A 24,249-nucleotide genomic window follows, 5' to 3' on the forward strand; every position below is an offset into this window, starting at 1 on the left:
GGCGTGGGATTGCCACTACGCCTGGCCAAGTTTTAATTTTTTTGTAGAGACGGAGTCTGACTATTTTCCCCAGGCTAGACTTGAATTCCTGGGCTCATGTGATCCTCCTGCCTTGGCCTCCTGAAATGCTAGGATTACCGGCGTGAGCCACCGCACCTAGTGTAAATCCTCATTCTTAAAGGCCCAGCCCAAATGTCTCCCACTTTGGGAGTCTTGGCTTTGAAAAAAAATTAATCATTTTTTTCAGTGTATGCGATATAAAAGTAAATATACACAATATAAAATTTGCCATTTTAACCATTTTAAGTGTACCATTCGGTGTCATTAATCACATTCATAATGTTGTGCAACCATCACCACTATTTCCAAAACTTTTTCCTTACTCCAAACTGACAGTTTGTATTCAATAAGCAGTGACTCCTCATTTCTCCCTCCCCCAGGCACTTGGTAACCTCTAATCTACCTTCTGGCTCTATGAATTTTGGCTATTCCAGATAGTTCGTATATGTGGAATCCTGTACTATTTGTCCATTTGTGTCTGACTTATTTCACTTTGGCATACTCTTTTCAAAGTACATCCATGTTGTAGCATGTTTCAGAACTTCATTCCTTTTTGTGGCTGAATAATATTCCATATTACACATATAAATAAATGTGGTATGTATATACCACATTTTATCTGTTCATCTCTTGATGGATACTTGGATCGTTTCCACCTTTTGGCTATTGTGAATAATGCCGCAATGAACATTGGTGTACAAGTATCTATTTGAGCCTGGATTTTCATTCATTTGGGTAGGAGTGGAATTGTTGGGTCTTATGGTAGGTCTGTTTAAATTTCTGAGGCCCACCAAACTGGGAATCTTTTAAGAATCTAGCAAATGGTTTTTCTCTCCTCTGTCTTCAGTTATTTTATTTATAGTATGCCATACATATATCCATCATATATAAATATACATCTTGCTATATTCCCCCTCCCACTGTTTGTGATTTTGTTTGTTTGTTTCTTAGGGATGGGTTTTCACTCTGTTACCCAGGCTAGAGTGCAGTGTCCCAGTCATGGTGTACTGCATCCTTGAAGTCCTGGGCTCAAGTGATTCTCTAGCTTCACCCTCCCAGGTAGCTGGAAATATAGGCAGGCGCCACCTTGCCTTGCTTTTGATTTGTTCTTTAGTCTTTCTCCCCAGGGAGAGCAGGCATGTTGCCCCAAATACCTGTGTTTTCCTTGTTTGCAGCAGAGTGTATGTCACATAGTAGAAGTTAAAGCCAAAGAAACGATTGAATTAATGAATGTCTCTGTGGGTTATTCTTAGGAGTAATTTAAACTTATGAAGTTTAAGTTTTGGAAAATTTTAGAACAAGAAAGCTTTAGGATAATATATTTGTCTTTTCTACCACTGTTTACTAGGAACTAGATAAGTATTTACAACATCATGCCTTCTTAAATGCAAGAAGAAAGGAGATGTTATATAAAAGATGGGTTGACTGTGTGGCAGATCCTCTTCAGAAGAAAATTATAGAAAAAGTTTGCTCACATAAGAAGATTAAAAAAAGGAGGCAAGGGGAATTAGATGGCTTTTTAAAACATGTAAATAAAAAGGTACTAAGAGATCATTTGATGCTTTTTTCAGTTGATTTAGACCTAATGTCATCTTTGTTCATTTATAATCATTCAGTCAGTCTGTCCCTGTCCCCTCTACATATGTATCATCTATACCCTGTTACATAATAGCATAAAGTATTCTTAAACCCAGGACATTTGGAAAGGAGAGAAAAGGAAGATTAGATTTAATTGTCTACATTAGAACCATTTTTCTGTGTTTTCCCCATGTGGTTATTATTATTATTATTCGAGATGGAGTTTCACTCTTGTCACCCAGACTGGAGTGCAATGGCACGATCTTGGCTCACTGCAAACCTCCACCTCACGGCTTCAAGCAATTCTCCTGCCTTAGCCTCCCAAGTAGCTGGAATTACAGGCATGTGCCACCACACTGGCTAATTTTGTATTTTTAGTAGAGACAGGGTTTCTCCATGTTGGTCAGGCTGGTCTCGAACTCCCTATTTCAGGTAATCTGCCTGCCTCGGCCTCCCAAAGTGCTGGGATTACAGGTGTGAGCTACTGTGCCCAGCCCTCCCCATGTAATTATTAATTTTAATTATCAAGTTAAAAAATGTGGGTGTGTGGCTCACACCTGTAATCCCAGCACTTTGGGAGGCCAAAGCAGGTGGATCACCTGAGGTTGGGAGTTCGAGACCAGCCTGGTGATACCCCGTCTCTCCTAAAAATACAAAATTAGCCAGGCATGGTGGTGGGTGCCTGTAATCCCAGCTACTTGGGAGGCTGAGGCAGGAGAATCACTTGAACCTGTGAGGTGCAGATTGTAGTGAGCCGAGATCACACCTCTGTACTCCAGCCTGGGTGATGGAGCAAGACTCTGTCTCAAAAAAAAAAAAAAATTATACTTACAAAATAAATAATTTGGACTCTAGTTTCAGGACATATTTTTCTTTTGTTCTGGAACTTGATTATTTGCGAAGCTCTAAAATATAGCTGTTCTTCTAGCATTTTTTTAAAATCTGAGATGTTTGACTAGTAAGCATTTAAAAACAAATTCCCAAATCTTTTAGTGTTCCAACATTCTTTATTAAGATCTTACAAATTTTAAGTAGATTCCTTCCTTCACTATACCTGATTGCTTGAATAAATTAAATTTAAAATGTAGCCTTGTCTTTCTTTTTGCATTTGTCACTGATGCTGCTTTCAAGCATAAGAATGATACTATGTGTTTGACTCTCAAGTCCTGATATGCTCAAAATTAACTGTGCACCTCTTGTTCTTGTGTATCGTTTTATTTCCTTGCTATAGGGAAATGCATTTATAGAACATTATGATCCAAAAGAGTATGATCCCTTTTATATGAGCAAGAAGGACCCCAATTTTCTGAAGGTAGGGTAGATTTCTTTTTTTTAACTTTGGTATTATGTGTTTGGTTGTTTTGAGCAGCCCTAATATATGAGCAGTCCTTAAGCGATTCCCTAAAAGTGCAGTAACATTTTAAGCATAGTTTCCCATCGCCTGATCTTAGAAAGGAACAAAAAGCCAAAGGCCAAAGTAAATTAAATCTCCATAAAAGTGGAAAATACTGGATAATGATTGGGTAATAGGTAACGTTTAAAAATTCCATAGACTTTTAAATTTGTTACAAAAGTAACACATTTTCATGATAGATAAATGAGAAAATTGATTTTCAAATTAAGAAAATAAAAAACCAAAATTCTATTACCCAGAATTAATTCATTATGTTAACTCATTAACATTTTTCTGTATATCTATCTAGACTTCTTTCTATATGTGTGTATGTATTCACATTTTTATTTTATAAGAATGGAGTTACATTTGGTTTTATAATGAGCTTCCCCTCCCTCAATAGTTTATTATTTGCTTCTTTCTCAAAATATAAGTATATAATTTTCTTCATTGCATGATATTCTGTTACTAATAGCAGAATTAATTAACCTTGCACTGAAGGATTAACCAAGTCTTAGGGTTTTTTTCACATTTATTTCACCTTTGCTGCTACTGTGTGAGGTAAGTCACAGATGAGACAAGTAAGATTCAGGTCACTTGTCAAAGTCACCCAGCTGTAAATAGCAGAGCACAGATGTGGTGTTTTGTTTTGTTTCGTTTTTTCAGAGGGAGTCTCACTCTGTCACCCAGGCTGGAGTGCAGTGGCGCGATCTCTGCTCATTGCAACCTCTGCCTCCCGGGTTCAAGAGATTCTCCCACCTCAGCCTCCTGAGTAGCTGTGATTACAGGCGTGTGCCATCATGCTCGGCTAATTTTTGTATTTTTAGTAGAGATGAGGTTTCACCATGTTGGCCAGGCTGGTCTCAAACTCCTGACCTCAAGCGATTTGTCCTCCTTGGCCTCCCAAAGTGCTGGGATTACAGGCTTGAGCCACTGTGCCTGGCCTTATCTTGTATAAAATGTTGTTTTGAAATATGTACACATTGTGGAATGACTAAACCAATTAACATACATTGCATCACAAACACCAGTTTTTTCTAAGTAAGAAACCTAAAATCTTCTCTCTCTGCAATTTTCAAGAATACAATACCTTGTTATTAACTATAGCCATCATATTGTACAATAGATCTCTAGAAAAATTTTATGGCAGCCGGGCGCAGTGGCTCATGCCTGTAATCCTAGCACTTTGGGAGGCCAAGGCGGGTGGATCACCTGAGGTCAGGAGTTCAAGATCAGCCTGGCCAACATGGTGAAATCCTGTCTCTACTAAAAATACAAAAATTAGCCGGGTGTGGTGGCATGCACCTGTAGTCCTAGCTACTCAGGAGGCTGAGGCAGGAGAATCACGTGAACCCGGGAGGTGGAGGCAGCAGTAAGCCAAGATTGAGTGTCACTGCACTCCAGCCTGGGCAACAGAGTGAGTGAGACTCTGTCTAAAAAAAAAAAAAGAAAAATTTTATGGCTGAAAAAATATAATTGCATTGCATTCAAGTGAATTTAGTGACACAAATTATTTGTTAATAAGGTTTCTTGCACATATAAAATAGATACCTTTTTTTTTTTTGACGGAGTCTCACTCTGTTGCCCAGGCTGGAGTGCAATGGCACGATCTCGGCTCCTGCAACCTCCCCATCCTGGGTTCAAGCGATTCTCCTGCCTCAGCCTCCCGAGTAACTGGGATTACAGGCACACGCCACCAGGCCTGGCTAATTTTTGTTTTATTTTGTTTTGAGACGGAGTCTTGCTCTGTCACCCAGGTTGGAGTGCAGTGGCGTGATCTTGGCTTACTGCAACCTCCGCCTCCCAGGTTCACACCATTCTCCTGCTTCAGCCTCCTGAGTAGCTGGGACTACATGCACCCACCACCACGCCTGGCTAATTTTTTTGTATATTTAGTAGAGACGGGGTTTCACCGTGTTAGCCAGGATGGTCTCAATCTCCTGACCTCGTGATCCACCCGCCTCGACCTCCCAAAGTACTGGGATTACAGGCTTGAGCCACCGCGCCCGGCCTAATTTTTGTATTTTTAGTAGAGACGGGGTTTCACCATGTTGATCAGGCTGGTCTTGAACTCCTGACCTCGTGATCCGCCCGCCTTGGCCTCCCAAAGTGCTGGGATTACAGGTGTGAGCCACCGCGCCTGGCCTAGATACTAGTTTTTAAAATGGTATTTAGGGGATAATTTTTACCCTTTTTAGAGAGGTTTTGTTAGAACTGGTATTGGCCCTCACATGTCCAAATCAGTGAGAAGTCCAATATTAATTGTTTTTGGAGGTATCCAACCTTGAGTTGTACAGTCATGCTGTGGGCTTGTGTCATCCTACAAAGTGGTCCCACAGCCTCCCAATTCTTGGTGGGGCACATCACTGGTCCCAGGCCCAGGTTGTACTATGATTGTTATTCCTTACGGTCACATGCTGTGGCTCAGGTGCTGGCCCCATTTGTAGACCCAGCATTGGTAATCCATGTCTTCAGATCCAGGTCCTTGCCCATGTCTGGCAGAGACTCCACCTGAGAGCGTCTCGGGTAGGCTCTGCAGGCTGGGTTCCTGGCGCCCTGCTCTGTACTCTTTATGGACCTGGCACTTCCCAGACCCTGCTCCTGAGCTGCTACAGAGTCTGTAAGCTTGTCCTTATTCTCAATTCTGGGTTATCAAGTGGAGATATCCAACATTATCTCCTTTCCCCCTTTCAATTTCCCCAGTACAGAAAAGGTTCATCTTGCCTCTTATTTCAACAGTAGGGCTTGAGATGGCCCAGAGCACCTGGCTTCAGACCAACCCAAATGACCCTCTCTATCTTCCTTTCCTGGGAGTGGGACAGATCTGACTTTAGGAACATAGAGGCTTGATTCCTTCCCTTCAGATGGATCTTCAGCATTTCTTTGCATGTGCTTTGTGCAGCTCTACTTAAAAATTATTAACTTTACTAAGTCTTGCTCCTTCAATACACATCTTTTAGATGTTCTTTGTGATGAAATGGGAGTATGCGAACAGCACTTCTGCTGCATACTGAAATATGGATGATTGCTTGAATTGTGAGCTGAACTGGCTGCTTTTTTTTCTTCCATGAAACACCATTTTTACTTGAAAGAATGACTTACAAACTATAGTTATTAAGTCTTGGGTATTTGGCGGATATTTTCTGGAAAATGAATGAAGTCAGCTTGTCACTTTGAGAAAAACTACTGACAATATTTGTTGCCAATGATAAAAGGTGAGCTTTCAAGCAAAACATTTGGAATTTTGGAAAACTCATATTCACCATCAGAAGTGTGACAGTAGCCCAATACTCAAAAGACCTTTCTGATGAAATTGGTACTGATATTAATGAATGTGATTCTTTGATATTCAGTAATGAAATGTACAAACATTTGGAAGATCTTGCATAACTCCATGATCCAATTTTCCCCCAAATGTTACAAAATTACGCGTGGGAAAAAGATTCATTCGAAGTGCAAGATAGACTAATGGACTTAGTAGAAGAGTATGAAAAATTCATAGATATGGTTTCAGATTCCACATCATAACTAACCTTTAAGAAACTACCTCTTACTGAGTTTGGGTATAGTATCAAAAACAAATATCCACGATGATCTAAAAAGGCTGTTAAAATACTCCTACCTTTTTCTTTTCTTTTTTTTTCTTTTTTGGTTTGTTTTTGTTTTTGAGACAGAGTCTCGCTCTGTCACCCAGGCTGGAGTGCAGTGGCCCAATCTCGGCTCACTGCAACCTCCGCCTCCCGGGTTCACACCATTCTCCTGCCTCAGCCTCCCGAGTAGCTGGGACTACAGGCGCCCGCCACCACGCCCGGCTAATTTTGTTGTTGTTGTTGTTGTTGTTTTCAGTAGAGATGGGGTTTCATCGTGTTAGCCAGGATGGTTTTGATCTCCTGACCTCGTGATCCGCCCGCCTTGGCCTCCCAAAATGCTGGGATTACAGGCATGAACCATCATGCCTGGCCACTCCTACTTTTTTCAATTACGTATCTCTATATGGATTTTCTTCATATATGACAACTAAAACAACAAATCTCAACAGATTGCTTGCAGAAGCAGATATGAGAATCCACCTGTCTTCTATTAAGCAAGACATAAAGAAGTTTACAAAAATGTAAAACAGTGTTACTCTTCTCATTTTTTTGTTTCAGGAAATAGAGTTATTTTTCATAGAAAGATATGTTAAACATAACAGGCATATTATTATTATTTTAAAATTAATAAGCAATTTAAAATTTTCTGTTTTAATTTCTAATATAGTAAATATCAATAGATCTAAGCCATATACACAAAAGTTATTTGGATATAACAACAATGTTTTGAAATAAAATAGTTTCAGCTGGGTGCGGTGGCTTACGCCTGTAATCCCAGCTACTCGGGAGGCTGAGGCAGAAGAATTGCTTGAACCCAGGAGGCGGAGGTTGCAGTAAGCTGAGATTGTGCCACTGCACTCTAGGCAGCAGTCTCCAAAAAAAAAAAAAAAAATTAGTTTCAGAACCACTGGGTTACAATACCTCCATTTATGATGTGTAAGTGCTTGTCAGTAGAGATAGGTGTCTCCGGACTTATAATTGTCGATAAAACTTTAGATTGTTGTTTGTTTCTATCTTCAATTTAAAATTTAAAATTTGGTCTGGGCATGGTGGCTCATGCCTGTAATCCCACCACTTTAGAGGCTGAGGTGGGAGGATGACTTGAACTCAGCATTCGAGACCAGCCTGGGCAACATAGGGAGACCTGTCTCTACAAAAAAAATTAAAAACTAGCTGGACATGGCGCACACCTGTGGTCCCAGCCACTCGGGAGGTGGAGGTGGGAGGATGGCCTGAGCCTAGGAGGTTGAAGCTGCGGTGAGCCACTGCACTCCAGCCTGGACGACAGAGCGAGACCCTGTCGGAGAGCTTCAAGATGACTGGCTTGAGGCATCTGACATTTACCTCCTCCACAGAAGAACCAAAATAGCGAGTAGAAAATTGTACTTGGAACACGTCATCTAAGAGGAACACTGGAATTCCACAGAGAAGTGACAAGGAAACATCTAAGGTGAGGAAGGAGAGGGAGGTGAGGCAGCCTGCTCGGCCCTGAGACTAACACGGGGGCTGCCCGGAGATGGAGAGGGCCGAGGTGTGAGCAGCTGGCAGCAACCTTGCTGACCTCAGCACAGGGGCCACGGCTCACTTTCTTGCACCCAGAGGACAGGCCCCACCTGCAGCATCACCTAGGCTGAAACATACACTCCCTAACTGCCTCCCTATGCCTGCTGCCACTGAAAGCAACCCCACCCTCCACAGCAGCAGGTCCACAGCACAGCCACCAGCACCCCCACCCGAGTACTCTGCAGGGGGCTAGGGGATTGCCCTGCCCCATCCACCACCATTGGCGAGAGCCCACAAGCCTGCTGCTACCACCACAGCTGGCAACCTCCTGCACGCGCCAACTGGTGGTCTGGAGACTGGCCCACCCAGCCTGTTGTAGCCACTGCCAACACCCGTGTGGACCACTCTGGAGACAAAGGGTTGTCTCGTCACTGCTACTGCCATTGCCCACAACATGACCAGTGCCCAGGGGTTCAAGAACCTGCCCATCCACCTGGCCGACCGCAGCCACTGCATGCACCCAAGCAAGCCACCTGGAGACCCAAGAACTGGCCCACCTGAACCCGTAACACCGGTGCCACTGTATACTGCTCTGAGGACCAAGGACAGGCACCCTTGGCCTGCCACTGCTTCCGCTGAGGCTGGGGACTGGCCTGCCCAGTGTCCCCATCCCCCGCAAAGCCTCACCACAGCCTCCAACAACTGTACCCTAAGCCACCAAGGAAAACACAGACACCACTGACGCTGTTTGCAGCTGAAGAAATATGGAGACTATACTGTTGCACGCACCCAGGATCAAAGCCAAAGTGTCCTACCCATCCAACACCATAGACACGTCTCCAGGAAAAAGTCCTCCCCTACGGAAGCAATCCAGAAAACAGGAAGAAGCCTCCATTACCCCAGATGCACAGATGTCAATGTAAGGACACAAGAAACGTGAAAAAGCAAGGCTCTGACACCTCCAAAGGAACACAATAACTCTCCAGCAGCAGAGTCCAATGTCATTTAAAATTTGATCTGCTCTTCATATATGAATAGGTCACATACAAATACCTGAAAATGATAGTACCTTTTTTTGTTCCTTTTTTTTTTTTTTTTTGAGACGGAGTCTTGCTCTGTCGCCCAAGTGGAGTGCAGTGTCGCAAGCTCCACCTCCCGGGTTCATGGCATTCTCCTGCCTTGGCCTCCCAAGTAGCTGGGACTATAGGCGCCCGCCACCACGCCTGGCTAAATTTTTTGTATTTTTAGTAAAGACGGGGTTTCACCATGTTAGCCAGGATGGTCTCAATCTCCTGACCTTGTCATCCGCCTGCCTCGGCCTCCCAAAGTGCTGGGATTACAGGCGTGAGCCACTGCACCCTGCCTTTTTGTTCCTTTTTATAGTGAGTTAATATTTTCTTAATATTTTATGAGTAGCACTTTTCATAACTTCTGTAAAAGCAAAATTATACTGGGCAGTCTGATCACCGTTTAACTCTAATAGTCATGATGTGTATTGTAACTACCCCTGAAAAACTAGCCTGATGAGCATGAGAAAGATACATGAGTGACCTTTTAAGCTTGTGGTAGAATTTCACTGACTAGGCCTAAATGGTGAATGTTGCTGTTCATGAATCCTGTTTTCATATGTAGAACTGTCATTTTGATATTGATAATATTGGCCATTAACATAGATTCAGTGCTTCCATACCTTGGCTCACAAATGATCTATATTTTGAATAACTTGGTTAAGTTTTGAGTAATGTTAGTTATGTTGTTGATTATCAATGTTAGGGATTAAGATGAATATATGGATATATTTTTTCTTTTGTGCATGGGAAAGGAATTTTTAAAATTTGGGAACATATGGTAACAACAAAATAATTTTTGAAGATTGAACCCACACTTTGAAACAAGAGCTAACTTTGTCTCTTTGACTGGAGGGCCTTTAAGAGAGGTATTGATATACCCCCATCTCTTTGTAATATATTAAATAAATATAATGGTAAGCCTGCTATTTGTAAATACCATATTATTTACCCTCCCGGCATAAGAGCCATCCATATGTGGATGCTTAGAATAGACTGAAAATGTTTACTACTCAGACTTGCAACTCAGTGCTTAAACAAGTGCCTCTCTTGTAGGTTACCATCCCACCATTTCATGACCCTTTGAAAAAAGCACAATATGACAAGGATAACGAAAAAAGAACTCTTCTTCAGTGTGAGACTGGTACTTAGTTCCTAATTGTTATGTGATTTCATAGCCCAAGAGCAATGGCAGATGCATTTAAGGATGTTAATTTAGATTTTTATTCTTCCTTCAGGCAAAATATATTCAATAAAGGAATTCAAAGAAGTTGAGAAGGTTCAGCTGCATTCCAGATTCCCACAAATTTCTAATTCAAGGCACTTTATAACTCCAAACGAGTGGCTGAAACTGCCTACAAGATACATAGAAAGTGAATTTTGTAGAAGGAGAAGGTAATGGTTAATATACTAGAAATTATAGAACCTTTTGGACTTTGAAAATTCTTCAGACTGATATAACATTTTTCATAGTTATGATTTTTTAAAATTATCATTTTTCTTTTTTTTTGAGACAGAGTCTCACTCTGAAAATTTCATTTTTCAATGAAAAATCCATAATTCTTATCTTTGTTTCTCTGTATGTGATGTTTCTTTTTTCTTGGGTACTTTCAAGATTTTCTGTTTCTCTTTGGTTTTCATTAGCTAGATTATGATCTGTTTATATTTGTTTTTTTCTGTCTATCTTAATGTTCTCTGAGGTTCTCATATGTGTGGTTTTATGTCTTTTATTATTTTGGGGAAATCCTAGGCCATTATCACTTCAAATATTTCTTATTTCCTGTTCTGTCTACTTTTTTTCTTCCTCCTGAGACTCCAATTATATGTATATTAGATCACTTGATGATGTCTCACAGTGCCATAGCTCTTACTCTGTTCTGATTTTCCACTCTTTTTTTCCTTATTTGTTTTTCAGTTGGATGATTTCTGACTTGTTTTTAAGTTCACTGCCCTTCCTTAGCTGTGTCCTGTGCCCATCAAAGGAACTCTTCATCTTTGATATCATGATTTTCAAATTTCTAGCATTACCATTTGAATTTTTAGATAGTTTTTATTTATTCTGAAATTCTTCATCTGTTCATGCATGTTGTCCACCTTTTCCACTAGATTCTTTACCATATTAATAATTTAAAACTCCCTATCTGGTAGTTCTAATGTTAGGGTCATTTATGAATCTAGTTCTCTTGATTGCTTTATCTCTTGACAATGGCTTGTTTTGCCTTGCCTTTTTTTTTTTTTTTTGCATGTCTTGTAATTTTTTATTGAATGCCAGATATTTGATGTAGAAGAATGGTGTACATGGAGTATTTATGTCTAGAAATGGATATGCCTCTTCTTCTGTCAAGCATTAGTGTGGAGGATTAGCCTTATCTAGTTGGAATTGAGTTGGGTTTGGGTAATGTTATTGCTATTGTTACCTTTAGTGCATCACAGGCTTGAATACCTCCAGTGGTTAGGCTGCTTTTCCTTGTGCTTAGAGTGCGGGTGGGGTGCCAGAGGGATTTTCTCAAGTGTTTCTGCTCCTTCCTCAGTTTTCAGCTATCCATGCAAGCTGGCATCATAGAAGTGGAGGGGTATTCTCTCCATGCTCTTCCCTCTCCCACGGGAGTATACCACTGTTGCATGTTGCTTATTGCAAGGCTTCTAGTGGACGCAGAGGAATATCCCATGTTTTTCTCATGGAGCTTCAGTTTTAGACAAGCCCTATGTGCTTAGGCCTCAGAAGCAGGACTTTCCTGAGGTTCCTTTTCCTTATCCTTGTGGCAGCCAAACTTGACCTTGTATCTGTGGTTGTTCTTGGATGGCAGTGTCCTGTCTGTCTTCCAACGACAGCAAGATTTCTGCTTAGTATAGGAATAGGAGTCTTGATACCTTTTTTTTTAATTTGTAAATTTAATTTTTGTAGGTACATAGTAGGTGTATATATTTATGAGGTACATGAGATGTTTTGATACAGGCATGCAATTCATAATAGTCACATAATGTAAAATGAGGTATCCATCCCCTCAATGATTTATTCTTCATGTTACAAAGAATCTAATTATACCCTTTTAGTTATTTTTAAATGTATGTTAAAGTGTTATTGACTATAGTCCCCTTGTTGTGCTATCATATACGAGGTCTTATTCATTCCTTCTATTTTTTTGTCCCCATTAACCCCATCCCTACTTACCCTTTACCCTCCCAATACACTTCCCAGCCTCTGGTAACCATCCTTCCGCTCTGCATCTCCATGAGTTCGATTGTTTTGATTTTTAGATCCCACAAATAAGTGATAACATATGATGTTTGTCTTTCTGTGCATGGTTTATTTCACTTAGCACAATAACCTCCAGTTCCATCCATATTGTTGCTAATAACAGGGTCTCATTCTTTTTTATGGCTGAATATTACTCCATTGCGTGTAAGTGCATTTTCTTTATCCATTCATCTGTTGATGGACATTGAGGTTGCTTCCAAATCTTGGCTAATGTGAACAATGCTGCAGCAAACATGGGAGTGCAGATATCTTTTCAATAGACTGATTTCCTTTCTTTTGAGTGTGTACACAACAGTGGGATTGCTGAATCACGTGGTAGGTCTATTTTTAGTTTTTTGAGGCTCCTCCAAACTGTTCTCCATAGTAGTTGTACCCATTTACATTCCCACCAACAGTGTGCAAGCATTCCCTTTTCTCTACGTCTTTGCCAGCATTTGTTATTGCCTGACTTTTGGATATAAGCCATTTTAACTGGGAAGAGATGATAACTCATTGTAGTTTTTTTTTCTTCTTCTTTTTTTGAGACAGAGTCTTGCTTTATCGCCCAGGTCAGAGTGCAGTGGCCCCCACCTCCCAGGTTCAAGCAATTCTCCTGTCTCAGCCTCCTGAGTAGCTGTGACTACAGGCACATGCCACCACACCCAGCTGATTTTTGTATTTTTAGTAGAGACGGGGTTTCACCATATTGGTCAGGCTGGTCTCAAACTCCTGATCTCAGGTGATCCACCCACTTCAGCCTCCCAAAGTGCTGGGATTACAGGTGTAAGCCACTGCGCCCGGCTTGTTGGTTGATTTGTAATAAGGCTTTTCTTCTCTCAAAAATCTAATGCCATAGTATTGGTTTCTGTGTGTATTGGGAGTGTGAGCCACTGCACCTGGCCTGCTTTCTTTCTTTTTATTTTTTGTAAATCTGTTACTGGTTTTTTGATTTGCGGTTACCATGAGGCTTGTAAATGCTATCTTGTAACCCATTATTTTTAACTGATGACAACTTAAGACTGATTGCATATACAAACGCACAAAAAGAAAACTAGTGAAAACTTTAAACTTTGTCTCCCTGCTTTTTAACTTCTTGTTGTTCCTCTTTGTGTCTTATTATACTATTTTTTGAAAAGTTGTTGTAATTATTTTTGATTGGTTCATCATTTAGTCTTTCTATTTAATAAGATAAGAGTATTTGCACACCACCATTGCAGTGTTATATTATTCTGTGCTTTTCTCTGTGCTTACTATCACCAGTGAGTTTTGTATCTTGAGATGATTTCTTCTTGCTCATTAACATCCCTTTCTTTCAGATTAAAGAACTCCCTTTAGCATTTCATATAGGATAGGTTTGGTGTTGATGAAATCCCTCAGCTTTTGTTTGTCTGGAAAGGTCTTTATTTCTCCTTCATGCTTGAAGGATATTTTTTTTTCTGGATAATACTATTCTAGGGTAAAAGTTTTTTTCTGTCAGCACTTTATTTCTTTATTTTATTTTATTATTATTTTTTTGAGACAGAGTCTCACTGTCACCCAGGCTGGAGTGCAGTGGCATAATCTCGGCTCACTGCAACCTCTGCCTCCCAGGTTCCAGTGATTCTTGTGCCTCAGCCTCCCAAGTAGCTGGGATTACAGCTGTGCACCACCATACCCAGCTAATTTTTGTATTTTTAATAGCGATGGGGTTTCTCCACATTGGCCAGGCTGGTCTTGAACTCCTGACCTCAAGTGATCCACCTGCTTCAGCCTCCCAAAATCCTCGGATTACAGGCATGAGCCACCATGTCTGGCCATGTCAGCACTTTAAATATGTCATGCCACTCTCTCCTGGCCTGTAAGGTTTCCACTGAAAAGTCTGCTGCCAGATGTGGTGGAGCTCCATTGTATGTTATTTGTTTCTTTCCTCTTGATGCTTTTAGGATCCTTTCTTTATTCTTGATCTTTAGGTGTTTGATTATTAAATGCCTAGAGGTAGTCTTCTTTGGGTTAAATCTGCTTGATGTTCTATTACTTTCTTCTACTTGAATGTTGATATCTTTCTCTAGACTTGGGAAGTTCTCTGTTATTATCCCTTTGAATAAACTTTCTACTTCTATATCTATCTCCCCTGTAAGGCCAATAACTCTTAGATTTGCACTTTTGAGGCTATTTCCTGATCTTACAGATGTGCTTCATTGTTTTTTATTCTTTTTTTCTTTTGTCTCCTCTGAATGTCTATTTTCAAATAGCCTGTCTTCAAGCTCACTAATACATTTTTCTGTTTGATAAATTCTGCTATTAAAAGACTCTGATGTATTCTTCAGCATGTCAGTTGCATTTTTCAACTATAGAATTTCTGCTTGTTTTGTTTTTTGTTTTTTGTTTTTTTTTTTGAGACAGAGTCTTGCTCTGTCACCCAGGGTCCATGGAGTGCAGTGGTGTGATCTTGGCTCACTGCAACCTCTGCCTCTTGGGTTAAGGTGATTCTCATGCCTCAGCCTCCTGAGTAGCTGGGACTACAGGCACCCACCACCACGTCCGGCTAATTTTTTGTATTTTTATTAGAGATGGGGTTTCACCATGTTGGCCAGGCTGGTCTCAAACTCCTGACGTCAGGTGATCCACCCGCCTTGGCCTCCCAAAGTTCTGGGAATACAGGCATGAGCCACTGCACCCGGCCTCATTATGAGATTTTTTGGTGATTTTTTTTTTTTTTTTAGCTCATTAGCTATCATTAATGTTAGTGTATTTTATGTGTTTCTGTGTGGCCCAAGACAATTTTTTTTTTTGAGTCGGAGTCTTGCTCTGTCCCCCAGGCTGCAGTGCAGTGGTGCAATCTCGGCTCACTGTAACCTCCGCCTCCTGGGTTCAGGCGATTCTCCTGCCTCAGTTCCCTGACTTAGCTGGTATTGCAGGCATGCACCATCACACCTGGCTAATTTTTGTATTTTTATTTTTATTTATTTATTTATTTTGAGACAGAGTCTCGCTCTGTCAGCCAGGCTGGAGTGCAGTGGCATGATCTCAGCTCACTGCAACCTCCCTCTCCCGGACTCAAGCAATTCTCCTGCCTCAGCCTCCCGAGTAGCTGGGATTACAGATGTGTGCCACCATGCCTGGCTAATTTTTCTATTTTTAGTAGAGACAGGGTTTCACCATGTTGGCCAGGCTGGTCTCAATCTCCTGACCTCAGGTAATCTGCCTGCCTCAGCCTCCCAAAGTGCTGGGATTACAGGCATGAGCCACCACGCCCAGACAATTCTTTGTAATTATTTCAATTTCTTTGTTAAATTTATCTGATAGAATTCTGAATTCCTTCTCTGTGTTATCATGAATTTCTTTGAGTTTCTTCAGAATAGCTATTTTGAATTCTCTGTTTGAAAGGTCATATATCTCTGTTTCTCCAGGATTGGTCCCTAGTGCCTTGTTCAGTTCATTTGGTATGTCTATATTTTCCTGGATGGTGTTGATGCTTATAGATATTCATCAGTGTCTGAGCATTGAAGAGTTAGGTAATGTAGTCTTTACATTCTGGGTTTGTCCTTCTTGGGAAGGCTTTCCAGGTGTTTGAAGGGATTTGGGCCCCAAGCCCAATAATACTGTGGTTTTTGCAGACTCATAGAGGTATTGCCTTTGTGGACTTTGATAAGATCCAGAAGAGTTATCTGGTTACTAGGCAGAGACTCCTGATATTTACCCCCACCTTCTCCCAAACAAACAGTCTCTCTCTCTGTGCTGAGCCACCTGGAGCTGGGGGTGTCATGATGCAAGCACCCCTGTGGCCACCATTACTGGTGCCGCATTGGGTCAGACCTGAAGACGTCTAGTATAGCACCGAGTCTTGCACAAGGCCCTTCCCTTCAGGGTGTGAGTTCCCCAGGTCCCAGGCATGTCCAGAGATGCTGTCTGGGAGCCAGGGCTTGAAGTAAAAAAAACCTTAGCAGTTTACCTGATGGTCTTTTCTACTGCAGCTCAGCTGGCATTCACACCACAGTACAAAATCCTTCCCACTCTTCCCTCCCCTTTACACAGGCAGAGAATCCTCTCCCTGTGGCCACCACCACCACTGGTCTATGGGGATTCTGCCAGGTCACCACCGATGTTTACTTAAAGCCCAAGAGCTCTTCCCTTCAGCTTGTGGTGAATGCTGCCAGGCCTGGGACTCACCCTTCAGGGCAATGGACTCCCATTTGGTTGAGGGCAGGTCCAGAAATGCGGTCCAAGAGCCCAGGCCCAGACTCAGGGACCCAAAAAGCCTGCTTGTTGCTCTATCCTACTATGACTGAGCTGGGACCTAAGGTGCAAAACAAAGTTCCCTTTCCTCTTTCCTCTGTTTTTCTCAAACAGAAGGCGTCTTTCACCATAGCCACCACAGCTAGGAATGTTCTGGGTCACTGCTGAAGCCAGCACATCTCAGAATCCAGAGCCCCCAGTATACTCCCTGGGTATCGCTGCTGCTGGTTTTCAGGGCCCAAGGGCTCCTTAGTCAGCAGGTGATGAATCCTGCCAGGGTTGGGTCCTTCCCTTCAAGGCAGCAGATTCCCTTTTGGCCCAGAATGTGTCTAGAAATGTCGTCCCAAAGCTAGGGCCTGGAATGGGGACCGCAGGACCCTGCCTGCTATTCTATCCTGCTGTGGCTGAGCTGGTATCCGAGATGCAGGACAAAGTCCTCTTTATTCTTCACTCTCCTCCCTTTAAGCAGAAGGAAGGTGTCACCTTTGGAGTTGCTGCAAGCTGCACTGCCTGGGGTTGGGAGAGGGATGGTGCAAGCACTCCCTTAGCCATGCCAGCTGGTGTCTCCCTAGGTCACGTGCCACCCTAGTTTTCTGGCTCTGAGCTCAGCCCAACATGAGGAATTGCCTAGGAATTACAGTCCTTGTTCCTAGACTGCCTTTCAAATTTACCTAGGAGCCCAGGGTACTTCAGCCCACAATGGTGAGGCTTGTGGAGAAACTCAAGTTCCAATCACTGGGATGGGCACTTTCCCTCTGGCTAAGGCTGGTCCAAATGTTGGCTTCCTGAGCGGGTGCTGGCTGAGCCCAGCATGGCTTTATTCTCTGTTGTGACAGGGCAGAACCGAATTCAGCATAAGTCCCCTACTCACTGGGCTCACCCTCCCCAAATGTACAAACTCTCTCTCTGTACCACACGGCTATGACTGGGGAATAGGAGAGAGGTGGCATCAGTGATTCAAGACTGTCCCTCCTGCTCTCCTCATGCCTCTTTTAGTGATATGAAGTTAAAACGAGGTACTGTGATTGCTCACCTGATTTTTGGTTTTGGTGATGGTGCTTTTCTGTGTGCAGATAGATGTTCAAATTTGTTGTTCCAGTGCGGGGAATAAAGGGTGTAAGCTTCTATTCTGCCATCTTGCTCTGCCTCCAGCATCTTTTCATATGTTTCTTTGCCATATACTATTTTCACATGTTTTTTTGCCATCTGTCTGTCTTCTTTGGTGAGGTGTCTGTTGTTCAGATCATTTGATCATTTTTAAAATGGGTTGTTTGTTTTCTTATTGTTGAGTGTTAAGAATCCTTCGTATATTTTGAATGTAAGTCCCTTATCAGGTATATATTTTGCAAATAATTTCTCTCAGCCTATGGCTTATCTTTTCATTCTCTTAACAGTGTCTTTTGCAGAGCACACATTTTAAATTTTAATAAAGTCCAGCTAATCATCAATGTTTTTCTTTTTTTATCTGAGGATGAGAGCATGAGAGGAAAAAGAGAAGAAGCCACCCTTTCCTCTCATGTTCTACCAAAGGCGAAGCAGGTTTTGTGTCCTGCCTCTCGTGGGAGGGACTTGTCTTTGGAATTCAGTTTACTTCTTTGCCTTGAAATCTGATGGGCTCAATAAAAGTTATGTTTTTGTAGATTATCTGGCCTTTTTTTGCCCTTGGGGTGAGAGCACCATTATTTCTAGAGCATCATTATTTCTATTTTAGGATGCTTTCTACATCCCAAATGGAAGCAGAACTAAAATCATTTCATTTGTTATTTTTAAAAAGTGGCCACAAATGGCATTGTGAATGTTACATAAGACAGAAATAAACCTTAAAACAGAATTTCGAAACAATGGCTGTTACTTTTTTTCTTTGTCTACTTTGAGCATCATAATCCTAGCTCTAGTAATTAAATAGGTTCCATCCAAACCAGGAGTCTATTTATAATAGGTTTAACTCTGATGGTATATTAAGATGATGATATTTAGAATATTGATTTTATAGTGAGCAATTAATGGGCATACAGTGATAATAGGTTTAACTCTGATCATGTAGTAAGATGATATTTAGAATATTGATTTTGTAGTGAGCAAATCACATTAATGGGCATACAGTGAGTTCCAGTCACACTGTTTGTTTCCACCCTTACTTACTTATTAATGACCACCATTAATGACTGGTGGTCATTAATGTGATAAAGAAAATGTCCTTTTTAGATGATTGTCAGATTATCTTCTATGACCTCATACTTCTCTAGCCTTATGGGGGCTGGCGTGTTTGCGGGTGACTGGCTTCTTCTATGAGCCCTTTTACTGAATCTTAGTCTTTACACACTAAGCAAGTGTGTGCCAGAAGTCATTGAAGACCATGCATATATATATATATATATATATATATATTTTTTTTTTTTTTTTTTTTTTTTTTGAGATGGATTTTCGCGCCTGTTGCTCAGGTTGGATTGCAGTGGCCTGATCTTGGCTCACTGCAACCTCTGCCTCCCCAGTTCAAGCAATTCTCCTGCCTCAGCCTCCCGAGCAGCTGGGATTACAGGCATCCGCCACCACGCCCGGCTAATTTTTGTATTTTTGTTAGAGACAGGGTTTCACCGTGTTGGCCAGGCTGGTCTCGAACTCCTGACCTCAGGTGATCCGCTGCCTTGGCCTCCCAAAGTGCTGGGATTACAGGCGTGAGCCACTGCACCCGGCCACCATGCTCATATTTTTATTTCTTATAGAGGAATTTCCTATATATCCTATAGAGGAACAGCTTCTCTTCAATATATTTTTCAAATTTTGAGGATAATTGTGATGCCACTTTTCAGTCTCCAGCCTGAACACTTGGGGTCCACATCCCATAGCCTTATGTAGAAGGTGCTGATGGGGCCAGGAGTCTGAGATTGGGAAGAAGCTCAAGTGCTTAACGACTAAGACAGTTCTGGAATGCTGGAATGTCTTCAGAAGACTGTAGCAAGATGTGTGTGCCTTCTGTGTTCCGGTCACAAATATTCAATTGTCTATTTTCCACACATAAGTCAAATTCAACCTATCCAAAAGTGAGCGAGTCGTGCTTGTCATCTTTTGCATCTAACTTGCTTTTTTTGTGTTCCTGGTTATGGGAAATATCAGGGTTCTTCTTTATTGCTCATTATCCCTTTACTTAATCCAGCACTGGGCTCTGTCATATCCATTCCTAAATCTCCTTCTAATTTGCCCCTTCTGGCCAGGCGTGGTGGCTCACACCTGTAATCCCAGCATTTTGGGAGGCTGAAGCAGGTAGATCACCGGAGGTCAGGAGTTTGAGACCAACCTGGCCAACATGGTGAAATCCCGTCTCTACTAAAAATACAAAAAATCAGCCAGGCATGGTGGCACAAACCAGTGATCCCAGCTACTGTGGAGGCTGAGGCAGGAGAATCGCTTGAACCCTGGAGGCAGAGGTTGCAGTGAGCCGAGATCGGGCCATTGCACTCCAGCCTGGGCAACAAGAGCAAAACTCCATCTCAAAAATAATAAAAATAATAATAATTTGCCCCTTCCTAAACATTCCCATAAACCAAATTCCCATTCTCATGTCCAATCTATAATAACATTTATTATTTATTGAGCTCTGATGTACCAGACACTGTTATACATTTCTTTCCGCCCCCCCCCCCCCAGCTTTTTGTTTCATTTATCTTTTGTATTTTTTGTTTGTTTGTTTGTTTCAATTTCATTTAGTTCTGCTCTGATCTCTTTATTTCTCTTCTGCCGGGTTTGGGTTTGGATGGTTCTTGTTTCTCAGGTTCTGTAAGGTGTGGACTTAGATTGTCTGTTTGTGCTCTTTCAGTCTTTGTGATGTAGGCTTTCCTTTTAGCACTTCTGCTGTACCCCAGAGGTTATGATAGGTTGTGTCACTATTATCCTTCAGTTCAAAGACTTTTTAAATTTCTATCTTGATTTCATTGTTGACCCAATGATTACTCAGGAGCAGGCTATTTAGTTTCCATGTATTTGCATGGTTTTGAGGGTTCCTTTTGGAGTTGATTTCCAATTTTATTCCACTGTGGTCTGAGAGAGTACTTGATATAATTTTGATTTTCTTAAATTTACTGACACTTGTTTTGTGGCCTATTATATGGTCTATCTTGGAGAACATTTTATGTGCTGATGAATAGAATGAGTTATACACTTCTTAACATGTGCTAATTTTGTTTCATCTTCACAGAAATTTTATTTGGTAGGTACTATTACACAGATGACTTAAGGACCTTTTCAATTTTATAGCAGTATTTTTCAGCTTTGGCTTTATATCAGAATATCATGGAAAGTTAAAAAAAAAATTCTGGCCGGGCATGGTGGCTCACATCTATAATCCCAGCACTCTGGGAGGCTGAGGCGGGTGGATGACCTGAGGTCAGGAGTTTGAGACCAGCCTGGCAAACATGGTGAAACCCAGTCTCTACTAAAAATACAAAAAATAGCCGGGCCTGGTGGTGCATGCCTGTAATTCCAGCTACTCAGGAGTCTGGGGCAGGAGAATTGCTTGAACCTGGGAGGCAGAAGTTGCAGTGAGCCGAGATCACACCACTGCACTCCAGCCTGGGTAACAGAGTGAGACTCTGTCTCAAAAAAAAAAAAAATTAATATCCCAAGCCATACCCTAGACAAATGAAGTCAGAATCTCTGAGGGTGGGACCTACACATCAGTCTTTTTTCAAGATCCTCAGATGATTCGAACACATACCAGGTTGAAAACCACTTATTTATAGCCATAAGGCAGTAGATTCAGAAACTGAACTAAGGTCTCTGACTCCACAGCCTACATTCTAAAACACAGTGCCACACTTTCCCTTATGTTACATGGTGCTACCAGGGTGAAATGTGGCATGTCATGTTACTGCCCAACTTAATCTCTTTAGTGATTCCTGTGTCCCTCAGTTAAAATGTGATCTCTTTGGAATGACATACAAGATTGGGCTGATTTTTCCCTCCCTTCTACTCTGTACTCCAACAATACCAGGTCTTCCACAACTACCTGAATCAACCGTATTCTTCACATATGCTGGGCTTTCTCTCTGAACCTCCTTTTTTTTTTTTTTTTTCCAAAACATTGTTCCCAAGACTCTATTAAAATGCCGCTTTAAAACTTCCTCTCTGAAGTCATTCCAGGTGGTCACCTCCTGTTTACACTAGGCCGTACAGATTAGTCTCTCTTTTGTCCCACGATGTACTTTTTCATCGATCACACAGTTTGCACCTGTTTACTTGTCTGTGTAATGAATGAATGGATGACCAGTCACTGATTAAGTCTGTGAATCTAGCTTGTAGCCATTTTGCAAAGAACCTTCAATACTAGCTAAAGAGTTGGGAGTTTATCATGTAGGGAATGGGGAGTCAGTGAGGATAGCTGAGGAGGGGGTGAGATGCTGGAGATGGTGCTTTTAGAAACTTTAATCTGATGTGTGAGGTATATGACAGTTTGGATATAGGATAGGACTGGAGGTTGGAGATCACTGAAGAGTTTTTTTAAAAAATAGGAATCCACATTTTTGGTAATAAGAGTCTCAGTCACGATGGTGGCAAGAGGAGTGAAACAGAGATCGATATGATGACACAAGGGAATTCTAGATTTTGGTGACTACATTTGGAGGGCCAGGGAGAACTAAGAGTCAGAGAGGAGCTCGAAGTTTTGAGAATTGTTATCCTCTGTATTAGTTTCCTGGGCTTGCCATAACAAAGCACTGCAAACTGAGCAGCTTGAAATGACAGGAATCTATTCTCCACAGTCCTGGAGGCTGGAAGACTAACGTCCAGGTACTGGCAGGGCCACTCTCTCTGAAGGCTCCTTGTCTCTTTCCTAGCTACTGATGGTTGAAGCAATCCAGCAATCCTTGGTGTTCCTCGGTTTATAGCCTTATCTCTGCAGTCTCTGTCTCCATCTTCACATGGTCTTCTCTCTGTGTCTGTGTCCAAATTCCCCTCTTCTGATAAGGACACCTATCAGTGGGTTAGGGTCCAACACCCTAATCTACTGTTACCTCATTTTAACCTGATAACATCTGCAAAGACCCTATTTCCAAATAAGGTCAAATTCACAGATGCCAGGGATTAGGATTTGAAGATATTTTTTTGGGTGCACGTAATTCATCCTATAACATTACATTAATTCATTCCATCAAAGAATCATGTATTGAGTTGTAATTGCCTTTAAAGCATTCACAATCGAATAGAGAAGACAGATATTTAAGCAGATCATTCTATTACAATGTGATATGCACATATTATTAAGGACACACAAAGAAGGGTCATTTAACCTAGCCTAATAGAAAGCAGACAAAGGTAGAACTTGGATAAAAATAGAAAAGGAGGAAGAACAGTTTCTTGGGATTTAAATCACTCAATGCTTTGTTTTATAATTTTATTAATTTAATAAATGACCTCTAGTTTGGGTACATCCAAGAGGAAACATCCCATCTGAAGTTACCAATAGGAGTTCGGTACAGTTCTGTAGCAGATATAGGTATGGGAGACAGCTACAAAGAGGAAGGAATCCATATGCATCCCGTCCCTCTTTCCATTTTATACCAAATTTCTGGGATCATTTTCCTTTTTTCTGAAGTTTGGCCTTTACAATTCAATGTTTGTTTACCTTTGAAGATAATTTGCCAAGCACACGATTCTAGATTGACAATTATTTCTCTTAATGTTTTAAAGACATAATTCTCTTGTTATTTGGCTTCTATTGTTGTTTTTGAGAAGTCTGCTGTCACTCTGATTTTCCGTCCTTTCTCTGTGGCTGCTGCTACGATCTTCTCTTTGTCTTTAGGTGTCCTGCATTCTCACTGCTGGTGTCTGGGTATGGGTTTCTTTTCTTTTCATTTTTTTTTTTTTTTTTGAGACAGGGTCTCATTTTGTCACCCAGAGTGGAGTGCAGTGGCGTGACCTTGGCTAACTGCAGCCTTGATCTCCTGGGCTCAAGTGATTCCCCACTCCTTGGCTCCCCAAGTAGATGGGACTACAGGCATGCACCACTACACCCAGCTAATTTTTGTATTTTTAGTAGAGATGAGGTTTCACCGTGTTGACCAGGCTGGTCTCGAACTCCTGGACTCAAGCAGTTTACCCACCTCAGACTCCCAGAGTGCTGGGATTACAAGCGTGAGCCACTGCACCCAGCTGGATTTCTTTTTATTTAACCTACTGGTATATGTTGTGCTTCCTGGATCTCTGTATTCATGTTTATCATCAGTTCAGAAAAATATACAGCAATTTTTAAAATTATCATTTTAAATATTGCTTTTTCTTCATTCTTTGCATTCTGCTTCTGGGCTCAGATTAGATATATATATTAGGCCTTCTTATTATCTTAATATCTTTTAATATGTCCTTTATATTTTCCATTTTCCTCTTTGTATATATTTTCCAGTTTGCTAATTCTTTCTTCGCTGTGTTTGATATTAAGATTTTAATTTCTTAAATTTCCTTTTTTCCCCCCAATATGCTTGTTCATTCCCAATAGGCTCTTATTGCTTTCTTATCTTGGTGATTGGTTCCTTTTCTTCTTCAAGCATTTCATACATTGCTGTACTACATTCTATGTTTTCTCTGTGCCAGCAAAATTTATGTTCTACGCAGGGC

At 41.4% G+C, this 24,249-nt stretch overlaps 1 protein-coding gene across 3 annotated transcripts in view; it reads left to right on the plus strand.

Annotated features, from left to right (window-relative positions):
* The window catches only part of FAM228B (family with sequence similarity 228 member B), a 92,806-nt gene that overhangs the window by 59,668 nt on the left and 8,889 nt on the right, over positions 1-24,249 (plus strand). Inside the window, exons 4-7 of one of the 3 annotated variants that reach the window (NM_001145710.2) lie at positions 1,409-1,600; positions 2,870-2,950; positions 10,248-10,335; positions 10,430-10,586. The exons of 1 other annotated variant lie outside the window; for it this stretch is intronic. In NM_001145710.2, the coding sequence (NP_001139182.1) occupies positions 1,409-1,600; positions 2,870-2,950; positions 10,248-10,335; positions 10,430-10,586 (518 nt within the window). The remainder of the gene's footprint in view (positions 1-1,408; positions 1,601-2,869; positions 2,951-10,247; positions 10,336-10,429; positions 10,587-24,249) is intronic. One more of the 3 variants, NM_001291328.2, reaches the window with a different exon arrangement.

The sequence above is a fragment of the Homo sapiens genome, chromosome 2, assembly GCF_000001405.40.
Source record: "Homo sapiens chromosome 2, GRCh38.p14 Primary Assembly".
Taxonomy (NCBI): Eukaryota; Metazoa; Chordata; class Mammalia; order Primates; family Hominidae; genus Homo; species Homo sapiens.